Source organism: Homo sapiens, chromosome 11, assembly GCF_000001405.40.
Source record: "Homo sapiens chromosome 11, GRCh38.p14 Primary Assembly".
NCBI classification, from domain to species: Eukaryota; Metazoa; Chordata; class Mammalia; order Primates; family Hominidae; genus Homo; species Homo sapiens.
This window is the reverse complement of record NC_000011.10, coordinates 83461706-83476786: the sequence shown is the minus strand read 5'-3', so window position 1 is coordinate 83476786 and position 15081 is coordinate 83461706. Positions and strand designations below refer to the sequence as shown.

Genomic DNA, 15081 nt, shown 5'->3' with positions numbered 1-15081 from the left:
GAGGCTGCCTGCCTTATTAAAGTAGTGGCACTGCAAATCCAACCAAGACCTCTTAATTCTGAATCCCATTCATTTTTCACTCTTCCCTGTAGTTTGTAATCCAAGCCTGACATTTTACCTAGTAACTTTCAACCATTTCATACTACCTATAAAGTTAATACAAACAACAACATTTATATAACATTATGCACCAAGTCTGATTTTAAGGACTGTACGTATATTAAGTTCATCTTCTGAACATCCTATGGAGACAATTTGCCATGAATTTACTATATGACCTTAAACAAATTACTTAAAGTCTTTGAGACTCAGTTCTCTCCTATGTAAAATGAGTAGCTTGAATTAGAATAGAAATGGCAAATAAATTTTAATCAAGGTTCAAACTCGAACCAATTGGCAGTAGCTGCCTGAAGAGTTGTAATGAAAAGTATTCTAAGGCCATGTTGAGGCTCAGCAGTAATCCCGGCAATGATCAGTTTGTGATGCCTGTCAAGATCACAGAGAGTAATAGTGTGTGGTATGTACTTGCCATCTATGAAGCACATGAACCCTAAGCCCTTTCTTAGCACTAGCATTCTATGACTCTAAGAACCTAATTAGTTCTTAAAAATCATCATATGCAGGCACTAAAAACAAAATTTTGAGCATTAAACGTACTGCCACTGGTCTTCAACTCCATCATCTCTGTTTTCTAGTTTCCAGGAATTCCTAAAGAATGGCAATTTGCTTTTCTCTAGCATAAAGGTTACTAGGGTCTCTCATTGTGACTGGCTTCCAGTTTAAACACATAGTGTTTTGTGGCGACTGTGACAAAACCCTCTGCGAAGTCTCTGGCAGCTGCTGACATCCACACACAGCTCTGTGCTGCTCTCCCACTTTCAGCCATACAGTTGCCAAAACAAAACCAAGAAATAGTTTGTACCTTTTTGTCAGCTGTTATTTTGAAGTGCCAACCCCTCCTGAGCAGAAAATAGAAAAACTCTTAAGGATGACTATTTTATGGGGATGACACAACAGCAAAAGAAAAAGAAACAAAGAAAGAAAGAGAGAGAAAAGAAAAGAAAAGAAAAAAAGAAGAGAGAAAAGAAAAGAGAGAGAACTTGTGTTTAGAGGCAGAGTATCTGATGGCCTCTTAATAACCCCGACCTGGTTTCAGCCCCTATCTCTCTCTTCAATTTTTTCTTCATTTGTTAGCTTTACCTCAACACCCACCCACCCTGCCCCACAGAGAATTCTGCTTCTCTCACTGTTTCAAGACAGTGCAATATACTCCACAAGAGTTGAAAAAGGTGCAGTATTAAATCTTGACTCCACTACTTACTAGCTGAGGAATCAGGGCTCATTAACATCTCTGAGCCTCAGCTTCTTCATCTGTAAAATGGGGATCATCAGAGTACCTACCTCAAGCAATGCCTGTGAGACATAAAAGCCAGTGGGTATGAAAGCCCCTCAAGGCCCGCAAAGTGCCACAAAGACATGAATTTTCTCTCCTTCATCACAGTGGCTTTTTCTCTTTCCCTTTGTCTCTTCCTCATTACCCATAGGGCTTTTCATTCTTGGACATGGAAGTAAAAATTAGTTTAAGATGCTGAATTCACAGCAATTATGTCATGCCCACCTCCACGGGTTTCCCCACAGGCTTCCTGGGTATTACACAGTACCTGATTGCCACAAGGTCTTGAGAATTGGGGTGGCCCGGACATAAGGGATGCTGCCATTGCTGTCTACCAACACTACTGCTCTGAACCAGAACCAGAACCAGTGCCTTTCATAGAAAAGTAAACCAAGAAGTGATGGATAGACAGAGATAGAGAACTCTTGAACAAAATTAATCAAAGCTATGCTTTGCCCTAGTTGTCTGAATCGCAATCATACACACTGACATCAAATATCTTATTAAAGATTTGCCTTTAGAACGTTCCATCAGAATGATTTGCAAAGCCATTGGGAAGAGATTTTTATGGGAACTTGATGTGCTCTATTTATTTAGAGAAAACGATGCTTTCCAAAGTTAAATGACCATATTGACAGAAACACAAAATAGAACCTACCGTTGGCCTCATCACTCATCCTGTTTCCCATGACTGAAATCAGAATGCAAATTTGTTGACATCTTTCTTTATGTTAAGCACTCAATGGGGCACTGGAGACATGGTGATGAATAAAACTCAGTTCTCGCCTTTATGAAACTCCCAGCCTAATAAGGAGGTCCAAGAGTTACCTGACATTTAAAGCTTTTGTTATCCCATGGTCAGAATTCTTCCCTTGCACATTAATTGTTGAAGATTTCCCCTGTAAAGTTATAGTCTAAAATTGCAATGTTAGTCTACGATGCTTCTATCATTAAAACTATACTTTCTCCCCAAGAATTTTTACACTTCTTTAATTGACCCACAGCATTTTCCTGATGAAGTAATACTAAACTAAAACCTTGAATGCGTATACCCTCTACATCGCTCAGGCTTTAGATAACTGGGGGTTAGTAATCAATCACCTTCATGTTTTTTGGCCTAGGCTCTGTACATTTCAGTAGTTTATTCAAAGGGAATCATTCTTTTCCTGAGTACAAGAAATAGTGAATCTGACTCCTCACTGACCAAACCCCTGACCAATGTGGCAGAGTCCCCTGAACACTTCTGGGGTGGCCATGGGTACATACCACTTAGGAGGAGCATCAAGGTCCACTCTCTGTACCCTTAAGAAGTAGCTTGGCATGGTGGCGCCATTCTGAGCCCAGGCCCTCCTTGGGACTGAGATAAGATATGACTTCAGCCTGAGGCCATTTCTCACACTTGAAAAAGTAAGACACTCCTATCCCCATCCCATTCCAGCTACCCAGCCTCCAAGGAAGTCATCCAACTTCGCAGCTATACCCACATATTGCTCAATTTCCCCAAATCAGTCTCATTATCAAAACAGTCGATCATATTAACTCTTCTTATGAAATTACCTCTCTTTCTGTGGTGCTGTGGCTGTTGAAGGAGGAAAACCTGGCATTGATAGACTATGAATGTGCTTCAGGGGTGGGTGGTGAGGATATACAGCAAAGGTGAATTGCCCTTTGGTTTCAGAAGTTACCTCATATTCCACTTCTGCTCCACTATTTCTTCTAGTAGACAGAAAGTTCTTTTCAACAGCCCTAACCTATTGCTGTTCCAAAGGTTAGTCAATGCAAAAAAAAATGCAGACACTTCCGGGTTTGCAGGTGAAATTGAGCTAATCCTCTGACCAATTAATTCATCAATTATATAAAATAGATGATTGAAAAAATAAATGGCAAAAACCAATTTACTTTCTATGGTTATTTGTTGACTTGAGGTCCACCCTGAGTCAGAAGGCTTGTAGCAGATGACATTGGAGGGGCTGACATTTTACTACTGTGTCTTCCTTAGTTCTCTATCTGAAGTTTCAACGCACAGTTTAGCAGCAATTATAACCAATGATGTAGGACACACCTCAATTTTTGATCTTCATTAATTGACCCACAGCATTTTCCTGACGAATTAATATTAGAGTAAAACCCTGAGTGTCCTGATGAAGTTTTTATATCATAAATGAAATAAGCATATACTTGCTTTTGAACAGTGTGCTTCTTGGGGAAATAAAATAGAAGATGAAATAAAAGGTACAGCAATTCTGATTATGTAGCAGCCATCTATTGAATTGGACCCTTTCCTTGAACTAAATGGCTTCCTTTTAAGTAGTAATGCTTGGTGTAGAGGCCATGGCATTCCATTCTCAATGCCAGACAGAAAGAAGTCTCACAGGTCATTGCCCTGCAGCAAATAGCTAGCAACCAGTTATTACTTAGAGTTATGACTGTGAAAATCTGATACTAAAATGGTGCTAAAGAGTTTTATGAGGATGAAGTTATTTTTGAATGGTTCAAGGAGAAAGAGCAAGGAGAATTAACTCTGAGCTGTGTCTGTTTCCTGTGTTTCAGAGCAGGGCTTGTCTCTGTAATATATGACTGTTAGTTCACTGTGGTTTTCTTTCCTTCTCTTCTCAGGAGGACAAGAAGACCTCATTCTTTCCTATGAGCCTGTTACAAGGCAGGAAAGTAAGTTTCCCAGCACGCTTTCATTCCTAATTTCTGGGCCATAAGAGGTGACATCATTGAAGGAGGGAAAGAGTGAAGGACTAAGGAGAATAAACTCGGCTTAATGCTCTGTTGTCTTGAGACCGTACCTTACTCTTACGCTGTCTCTCACTTTCTCTCTCTTTGACCCTATCACCAAACAGACAACTTCCTGCTGAGTATGGGCACTAATAGCACCTAAGAGAAGGATGCAGCCCTCCAGATGAGTGGTCCTCAATGGGAAGGAACACATTCAAATTACCTAAAGAGCACTAGCTACGAGACTGGTGAATAAATTCTCCTGAGAGACTGATGTCAGCTCAGTATTGAGAATGACTTTCTAGCAGATCTGCCTAAGATGTAGGCTATCTGTAAGCTGCTGCTTTTTCCTGGAGGCATTTATACAGAGGCTAATTGCTACTGACAAGGATACTGCAGAGAGAATTCAAGCATCAGATGGGGACTTGTACCCAATGAACTCTCAGGTTCCTTCTAATCCCAGATACAAGGAAATCTAGAAACTGTAGCAAAGTATAGAGAGTATTTTGATCTGGGGAAAAGAAATCATGAAAACATAAGATGTTATTACTACTAACAATTACTTTTTATAGTCATATCTAAACAATAGCCAAACAGCTGGTTTGGATTCTTTTTTCTCCCACTCAGTTGACTAAATTCAGTTGTTTTGACATTATGTAGGCAGAGCCAGAGAGTAAGCAAAACTCCTCCAAATGTTTCTTTTCATCAACAGATACTGCAATTGCCTTTCCCTGCTAGTAGATTCCAGAAAGTAGGCACTGCCAATCTCCTGAGTGTTAAACATCAATTTCCCTATGCAAGGCTGTATGAGTAATTTATCCAGTGAAGTAATGCCCTTAGCATCTCTTACTGTCTGGCAATTAAGAATCACCCTTGCAGGACAGTTTTGCAGTTGTTTCCAACTCTTTCTCTTTACCTACATCTTCCTTTCCCATTCTGCAGTAAACTACACCCGGCCGGTGATTATCCTGGGGCCCATGAAGGATCGGATCAATGACGACTTGATATCTGAATTCCCTGATAAATTTGGCTCCTGTGTGCCTCGTAAGTGTCATTTTTCTTTCCTCTAGGAAAAACAAAAAGAGCTTGGATTTCTTTATGAGATGGTAAAATGTAATTCCATCCTCCAGTAGTCTCTCCAGTAATTCAAATACCAACCATTTCCGATTAGCTGAGTGCCTTATTTAATTTATTTGCCTAACACTTTTCATTTATGCTGCCGTGTGTCATTCTGTATTTAATAAAAATAATAATGTTTTCTCTAAACTGATTGTAGCCCCTTAAAAGGCAGGATGAATTTTTGTGGCCCCCAACCATTTAAAACAGCATAGGATTTATGATAGGCATCAGTATGTTTTCATAGATTGATCAAAATGCCACTGAAACATTATTTTTTATAGGATGGAAGAGATCGGAAACAAAGCCATATATTAAAATCCTCTCAGGATGACTTAGGGCCATATGTCAATCCCAAAACCCAATAGGCTTTCCCATGTTGACAGTCCCAGGTTTAGGGAGGGTGAAGACAAGAAAATGTGTAACACTTCAATTTGACCTCTAGGCCATTACAGACTTTAAACTACTTTCTTCTCATTATAGATTATCATCAGGCTTCTGGTCCCTCTGATTGTAGCCTTATTAGATTCTAACTGCTCTGCCTCTTCCCCTCCCCACCCCTACCATACTTTCTCCACTCATTCACCCCGTCTACACCCCGACTCTGTCAAACAGAAATGCATGCAGACCTTCTACGTATGTAGACAGGTCCATCAGGAAATTTTAATTTATTAGATAATGGAGCTCTTACATCTGATACCAACAAATATTTCTCTTCCATTCTATGTGTTTTAAGCCTGATGCTTTCAAGTGTCTCTAACATTCCAGTACTGCAAATTTTACATGAGATACTTAAGAATAGCAGGAATTGTATGTGTCCAGTACATGGCCAAAAGACTAGGATGATTGCTGTATCTCATGAAACAATTCCCAGCAAGGGCTCTGGGAAGAGATCCTGCCATAGAACATATCCTGAGAAAGTCTTCAGACAGGAAGGAGCAAATGAAACTCCAGGTCGTTTACAGCAAGCTTCCAGCTTGCTCCTCCACTTTTGAGAGAAAGAAAACAGAAGGTACTTAAGCATTCTTTCTGCTTTCCCTTTCACCTTGCATATTCTCTCTTTTTTGAATTAATAGAACCATTTTGTGATAGTCAATAGATGTTCATTGTACAAAACTTCAAAAACACTAAAAAGAAAGTTAAACGAGAAAATTAGAAGTATACAAAATCCCACACAATACCCAGAGATAACATCATTGTTAATATTTTTGTACATTTCCATCTATTCTTTCTATGCATGCATTTTTTCTCTGTGATGATTTTTTTGCTTATTTAAAATTTTATATAACTATTTCAAATGATTATTATATCCCAATTAATCATTCTTTATGAACATTTTGGTTTTTCCCTATTTTTCACTATTATGAATTGTGACAAAAATATCATCGTAATTGTGTTATAATTATTACTTATAAAATAATATAATGAATATCTTTAAGGATAAATCTGTATCTGAAGTTTTGATCATTTTTAAAAACATATTTCTAGGAAAAAATAAGTGAGTCAAAGATTAAAAATATTTTAACAGCTTTTATTCATATTGCTAGATTGCTTTCCCCTTCTCTTCTTACCAAAAAATTTAGGTGAAATGGTTAGAGTTGCTGATTTTTAGTCCTATCTAACTGTGATTATCTTATTTTATATATGTTGAGAGTCTGAATTTTATGGTCCTTTATAGAATGTTAAGTTTTTGTTCTGACAGGTGATAATTTACTGACACAGCAGCTTCTTCCATTTGTGACATGGTTTTAGACTTTGTGAAGATGGGTGTAGAGTAAGTCTAGAGTAACCTTTTAAAATGTGGCCTTTCTGGGATCTCCATGGGTTCTGACTCAACTCCCGTGTCTTCTAGCACCATGTGATGTCTAAACTCTCCATTTGGAAATGGCCTCTAGGTAGAGAGGTGGGGTGAATGCTCTCTCATATGTTTCTCTTTTCTCAAAGATTACAGCCCTGTACTTCCTGTTGTCTGATATCTGAAAACAGTTGTTTCATATATTTTGTCCAGTTTTTTAGTTGCTTATGGTGGGAGGGTAAGACTAGTACCTGTTACTATGTCATATTTCTTCATACTACATATTTCTACATATCAATGTTGAGGATGTGGTGGAGAATATAGGTGTAAAGCAAGTTTATGGGTATAAATGCACCTTAATTTTATCATTTTTTGTTTTATAAAGATACTACGAGGCCAAAGCGAGACTACGAGGTGGATGGCAGAGACTATCACTTTGTCATTTCCAGAGAACAAATGGAGAAAGATATCCAAGAGCACAAGTTTATAGAAGCCGGCCAGTACAATGACAATTTATATGGAACCAGTGTGCAGTCTGTGAGATTTGTAGCAGAAAGAGTATGTTCACCAATCTTCTTACACCTCCCCTGAAGAAGGTTTCTAGGTTGCAAACTGCATTTTTTTTTTTTTTTGGTCATTACTCTTTCTTGATTGCAATTGTAAATTTTGATTTAATAATTTAAAACATCCAAGCAGAGAATCACCTTAGAGCAATGTCATTAATCTTTGTTCTAATTTCAATAAAGTATTCTCACTGACTTGGAAAAAGTAGGAAGAGGGCTTTGTCTTTGACTCACTATCTGAGGCCCCAATACACAACCTTGATTTTATTAAGGCAGGTTTACTACTTTAGTTGTAAACCAAGGGGATAGCATTCCTGAATTATTTTGTTAGAGGAAGTTATTTTTTTTCTCTCTCTCTGAAAACTTGACATCCTCATGGTAGAAGAGAAGATAGATGAGAAGGGCTGCCCAGCCTTTTGCTCGCAGAAGTTCTAGCTTAGAGGAGGTGTAGATGCTGCTATTATCTTTTTGCTGGTAACTTCAGGGGCATGGAAAAGAGAAGAATGTTCAAGAGAGGGTACCATAGGAAGGCACCTGGGTGTGGCTACACAATCTGCCTACAGAGGGATCCTATTTCCTGTGAACACAGAGAACCAGTATCATAGGAGAAGATATTTGTTGGGTTGATTTGATTTGCCATGACCTTTCTCAATGTACCGCTAAAGAATTAAGTAATTTTGATGTCTATCTAAGAATACACTAAGAAGTTGCATCTATTTTCCTCCCTCTCAAAAGTTCAGTTCTATCAACTAAATGAATACTGGTTCTAGTCAAACTGTCCTGGATAATTGCACCTATTTTCCTCTTTGTTCATGTTGTTAACTTGAAATGTTCTGACTGGTGAATAATCAACCAGCATTTATACATGTTATGTGGCTGCTGCACTTCACAGATAGAAAACTTGAAATCTATTACCTAAGTAATAACGGCTTGAACCATCTTAGTGGGTTTCTCAGATAAGAAGACTTCAAGTATTCACTGGACTGTATTCATTTTCATGTGAACATTATAGATGAGATTTTAGCCCTTATTATTGATTTAGTATTGTTCCTATCTGCATAAAGTGCCTTTTTTCTCTTCTTGCATAAAGTTATTCTAGCCTCAGGGTAATGAGGACATTTCTCTCCAGGAGGTAGAATATGATGTGGCAAATGTATCTGCATATCCAGAAATGCTTTATAAAGCAGCTGCTTGCTCTGAGCACTCATTGTGGTGGAAGCCAAGTTAAATGAGGTGTGCTATAATGTAATAGCATTTTTATTTGTTAACAAACAAGAAATTTACATACCTCATGCAAGCCTTTCTCTCTTGGCATTTAACCCGCATTTAATTTATATATATATATATATATATGTTTTAATTATATATTTTATATGTGTGTGTGTATATATATATATATATATATATATATATATATATATATACATATAGTTTTTATTTTTTTTGAGATGGCATTTCACTCTTATTGCCCAGGCTGGAATGCCATGGCACGGTCTCAGCTCACTGCAACCTCCACCTCCTGGGTTCAAGTGATTCTCCTGCCTCAGCCTCTCAAGTAGCTGGGATTACAGGTGCCCACCACCATGCCTGGTGAACTTTTTGGATTTTTAGCAGAGACAGGGTCTCACCATTTTGGTCAGGCTGGTCTCGAACTCCTGATCTCAGGTGATCCACCCGCCTCGGCCTCCTAGAGTGCTAGGATTACAGCCATGAGCCACTGCACCCAACCAACCATATGTTTAAGTTAACCATTTTTGTGTCTGCCCTCCACTAGACTGAGTACCTTGCAGACAGGATATGTACAAGTACTTGGAAAAATTCACATTATTCTCAATCTTCCACACCGAATGTTGGGCAGGGTGAGACAATGAGGTGTCTATTTTTTCCAACCAACAATTCTGTTAGTGCTCCAGACTTGGGTTTGCATGCTCCTAGCACTAAACTATTGGGCAAGTTAGTTAGTGTGAGTCTTCTGTAAAATGCAGCTGATAATACCTACCTCAGAGATTTGGGAATTTCTTCTGACAATTGTGTTCAGAGATGGTTTTTAAACTTCATGAGAACAGACTCAGTCACATAACATACGGCTGCATGTCATCTTTGTGTGTTACATCAGGTATTTAACTGAGAGAACATATGTAAAATGTCCAGTCCAGTAGCAGACACTTTGTAAGGGGCTAGTTAGTATTAGTTATTGTAAACACTCAATGATGACCCTATATATCGATTTTTATTTACTCTTTGCAGTGATCTTTTTCTGACTTTAGAAATCCAGCATCCCCTACCTTCCTCTAAAACCTACATACATTAGTTTCCTTTTGTTGGATTATGGCCATGCTTCCTATATTAACTTCATATTTTTCTTCTCTTTCTACCAGGGCAAACACTGTATACTTGATGTATCAGGAAATGCTATCAAGCGGTTACAAGTTGCCCAGCTCTATCCCATTGCCATCTTCATAAAACCCAGGTCTCTGGAACCTCTTATGTGAGTAGAGGGCATTGGAGGCCTTCATCCAACTGACTCCCTGTTCTGTATTATACTGAAAATTACTAACAGGATTTTGCTGGGAATGCTTACAAATGGGAAATGCCATTGTTGATTTTTCAGCATTCTCTTTTTTTGAAGATATATCAAAGTTCTTTTAAACAACTAGAAACATAATGTCAGTGATTTCTTTTTTTAACATCCCTCATTTTAACAATAATAGTAATTCCTTAAAACATCTTCAATAATGTTTCCTGATTTTTATTGTTTTACTTCACGGATTGTTTTCTTTGTTAGTTTTTGAGGTTTTGTTGTTGTTGTTTTGAGGATAGCTTGGCTTGATTTGGTTTTTTGGTTTGCTTTTGTTTTCCAAATGATAGGAAGCAATCATTTTTTAATTGTCTCATACTTCTGAGGCAGGTCTATAAGTAAATCTTTTTAAATGTGTAGATTTTTTATAGAGAGAGCAGACAACGTTTGAGACTTTTTTCATTGGCATTTTCCTTGGTTCTCTAATAGAATTCTGATGTTCCTTAATTAAAACTTTACATACATAGAACATCGTTCTTAATAGAGTTTTCTTAGTGGCGTGGCAGTAAAACATCTGTAACTTAAACCAGTAGCTTCATACCTGTGCACTCAGGGTTTTTTCTTTTTTTTTCCCCTCCAAAGGACTTGTGAAATAACTTCTTTCAAGAATCATTAAACAAAGTGGGCAGACATTCACGATCTGACTGTAAAGTCAGTATAGGCAACTCCCATTCACAAAGGTGAAGCTACAGTAGATAGAGGTAACCAGAAAAGGGGCTACCAGCAGGGACCTGAAAATTGATCAGGCAAGATTTGGTTCTTTACTTTGCCACTGATCAGTTAAGTAACCTTGGGCAAATTGCTTGACCTTTCTAAGATTTAGCTCCTCACCTCGAAACGAGGCATACTAATAAATACCTCATAGAGCTAGTATAAAGGTTAAATAACAAGATTAGGAATTTAGTAAAGCTGTTCATGTACTCTTTGGCATATGGTAAGTACTCAATAAATAATACCTATTATTATTGTAAAAGATATAAAATTACTTCATTATAAAGGAATAAAACTATTTTATCATTATAAAACACATAAACAGTACCTCTTCCATGACAGTGCAAGAGATAATGCCAATGTGTCTGTCATGAGGGCCTTGATCAAATTTTGCCTTCATCTGGGCCTCAAGACCATAGTGTTTGACAGGGTTCAGGAGTGAACCACAGAGTACTGGAAAATAATGTTTATGGAAGGACCGAAGAAACAGAAATTATTTAATCCCAGTGGTGAAAGCAATTGCTTACAGAGGATATTAACTGTTCTGTGTCTCCTCTGAAGACAAAGAAGCAAAGCAAACTGCAGCAGCTGGAGTGGCAGCCTGAGAGAATTAAGTTAAATACATAGTTGAGCTCTGGGGAAATAGCCAGAGATGTACCTTGAAAGCAGAATATAGTCCCATATATAAAAAATGGACAAGGATTCTTACCAGGATAAAAAAAGTAAGATCGGGAGGTCACTGACAGTACCTTCAGCCCCATGAATTTAGGTATTAAATTATAATATAAAGAGTTTTTCCCATGGCTGGCACATGGAAAAATATGTACTAATGATAAAATAATGATTCTTAATATTATCATCCCCAATAGCATGTATTAAATTTCTCCTTGTATAGGATACTATGTCGGGCATTGCACAAAGTGAATTAAGCAAGTACAAATTTCATGATGTAAAATTGATTTATAATCTGTCAAGAGCCTCATAAATATAAGTAATGCTAACATTAATGAGAAGAAAAATAGTCCTTACTTCCTGGGAACAGCCATCTTAAAGGCCTGTTTCAGAAATAGAAAAATAAATCTTCATATTGTAAACACTCAGTGGGATAAATGGCTTCCCAGGGGAATGAGGCCTGAGGGAACGACAGCAGTGGCACATTTGGTCCGGTGCAATATTAGGAGACAGTCCCATCTGGCATTCCATAGGAGAAGGTCTACTGCCTTCCACAACTATGAGATGACTTATTTTAGTTATGCCTTAGGGCACTGTCACAGCCACTTATCACCAAGGAAAGTTAAATGTACTAAAGGCTGGACTTCACAATAAGGACAGTGAATCTGACATAATTTGCTGCAGCCATATTCATGGGTCTCAAGTGCAGTGATGGTGACATTCAGACCAATGCAATCTACCTACTAAAGGTTGGATGTTTACTTTACAGTTCACTCTTTTCCAAGGCTTTTACTCCAGGAGCAAAGCTGCCATGAATTGCCCATTCCCCAGAGAGTAGTGAATGCTAGGTCAGCCGGAACAAAAGCATGACAGCTGTCACATTTACACATTGATACATCATCACACACATTATTTCTCAAGTGCATCATCCACATCAAATCACAGAGCTTATTAGCACATACATAGCTGACTCTTCAGAGGAGCATAAAATCAAAGATGTGTATGAAAGGGATGTTCTTTTTATATTGTGCCACCATCTGACTTCTGTTCCCTTTCCATGTGGCAATCTCCCTTCACCCTGCCACTTCCAATCTGCTTTTACCTTCCTGCTCCCATGATGCTCTGTGTTTACTTCTGTCTTCAACTATCTTATAATTATGTTTATCTAGCTCCCCATTTGTTCATTCATTCATTCATTTACTCATCTATTCATTCAACAAATAAATGTTGAATCAGTCTCCATGCCACATGCTGACAAACAAGCCATGGTCTTCGCCCTCAAAGAATTACTGATCAGTCAAGGAGACAAAATAAATTCACAGGTCAGAGAATAAAAACCTAAACTAAGTCATTGCTGTAATCAGTAAAAAGGGAATTCAGAGAAGACAGAATTCTTGGAAGGCAGGTCGAAGATGATCCAGAACTATGTGATTTCTTTCTTTGAGACAGGGTCTTGCTCTGTCCAGCCCAAGCTGGAGTGTAGTGGTGCCATCATGGCTCACTGCAGTCATGACCTCGTGGGCTCAAGCCATGTTCCCACCTCAGCCTCCCAAGTAGCTGGGACTAAAGGTATGTGCCACCATACCCAGCTAATGTTTGTATTTTTTTTGTGGAGACAGGGTTTCACCCTGTTGCCCAGGCTGGTCTTGAACTCCTGAGCACAAGTGATCCACCTGCCTCAGCCTCCCAAGGTGTTGGGATTACAGACGTGAACCACTGTGCCTGGCCCACATGATTTCTTGACATCTGGAGCAAATATTTATCTTTCTCTGAAGAGTGTCCCTTGGTTTAGCCCAGCATCTTCTCCACCCACGAGTAACATCCATTCACAGCATGTACAGCTGAGACTGTTTGGAAGAAAAATTATACATAACACCCCTCAGGACAAGATGAGTTTAGCAACAAGAGTTCAGGAAATTCTCACTACTTTGTATTTCAGCCATTAATGTCTAATGTCAATATATTGTTTTTTTTTTTTCCAAATAGCCTCTTTTGAAAGATATCAAGTCTTGGTATAATAGGAAGTCTAACTGAAAATTGGTTTAAAAAACCAAAACCTTGAGTTCTTACCCCAGATTACTCTTCGTTAAATACACAGCCTTAAGCACATCCCTTCTTGCCTCTGTTACTTGCTCTCGAAAGGAATTGACTAAGGCCAGATGTTCCAGACCCAAATCTCTGGCTTCCTAAGCAGCATGCAAGACGGTAATGATTTCAGAAATTCTACATGCACCTGTGATGCATCCTGATCAGCCAACCAAATTGCATTTGGCAGGACATTTTTTTTTTAACACCTGGAAGACCCGGAAAGATAAAGCTGCCAGTAGTTAAGAATCAATAGATTAGGTTTTAGAGAGAATTCAAGAATTTTTCATTTCTCTCCCACCTTGATTTATCCTTGAGCCTTTTAAAAAAAATTTATATATAATAGTTGTACAAATTTTTGGAGTATATGTCATATTTTAATACCTGTATACAATGTGTAATGATCAAATCAGGGTAACTGGAATATCCATCACCAGAAATGTTTTGGGAACATTACAGTTCTTCTCTTCTAGCTATTTTGAAATATTCCTATAACTGCATTTTATACCCCTTAACCAGCTTCTCTTCATCTCCCCTCCTGCCTTCCCTTCCCAGTCTCTGATAACTACCATTCTACTCTCACATTTCAGAAAGTCTGAGATACACTAGAACAAACTCCAAGAAAGGGTGGTCAGGAAAGTTCAGATTTAGAAATCACATCCAATGAGGGGATAGATGAAGCAATAGGACAGTTTATTCTGAAGAAGTAGAAGCCTCAAGACACACTTAAGCACTTTACTTAAATATCCTAGGGCCTACCATGGAGGATATTAGGTCCCTGCAGAACAGGGACCAGTGACTACAAATCATAAGGAGACATATTTGGCTTCAATCCAATGTGGGACCAAGAGACTGCCCTTTGAGAGAATGAGCTTTCTGGCCGTGAGTCCTTGTTGCTGAAATTATTCCAGCACAGAGGAGTCCTGAATGAAGACTAAAAACCTGTTGCTAAGATTACACTATGTTTTCTGTAGGATTTATTTTTGCCATACATTTTAATTTTTTAGGATTTGGAATATTCCCTTTATGTTCTAATACAAACCCTCATTTTCCCAGGGAGATGAATAAGCGTCTAACAGAGGAACAAGCCAAGAAAACCTATGATCGAGCAATTAAGCTAGAACAAGAATTTGGAGAATATTTTACAGGTAAGTTCACTTTTACCCTGGTAGTGTGAGAAAGGGGATAAATTGTCTGACATTTGGCACAGAGAGGGTTCTGGGCCTGGTGTACTTGTGCCCTAAAACCTTCCTGTTGAGAATCCCTAATATCTGTTTCATATACAAGGAGTATCCCTCTGCTTCACCCATTTTGATGTAAAACCCTGGGTTCTCCTGAGAGTTCAGCTGCAGCCAGCTCCCAGGTTCCCACCAGCCCTACCCAAAACCATGGGCAGGAGATACCCCTGAGCTATCTCCTACCATGAAAAGGATTTGAGGCATTG

General features: G+C 38.5%; 1 protein-coding gene across 61 annotated transcripts in view; it reads left to right on the top strand.

The window, feature by feature from the left end:
• Positions 1–15081, top strand: part of DLG2 (discs large MAGUK scaffold protein 2) — a 2173362-nt gene that overhangs the window by 2151587 nt on the left and 6694 nt on the right. For 57 of the 61 annotated variants that reach the window (NM_001351274.2, XM_017017256.3, XM_047426494.1 and 54 more), the window contains 5 exons: positions 4010–4060; positions 5060–5161; positions 7414–7586; positions 9970–10079; positions 14694–14785. In NM_001351274.2, the coding sequence (NP_001338203.1) occupies positions 4010–4060; positions 5060–5161; positions 7414–7586; positions 9970–10079; positions 14694–14785 (528 nt within the window). The remainder of the gene's footprint in view (positions 1–4009; positions 4061–5059; positions 5162–7413; positions 7587–9969; positions 10080–14693; positions 14786–15081) is intronic. The other 4 variants (NM_001377966.1, NM_001377980.1, NR_165353.1 and 1 more) reach the window with 2 other exon arrangements.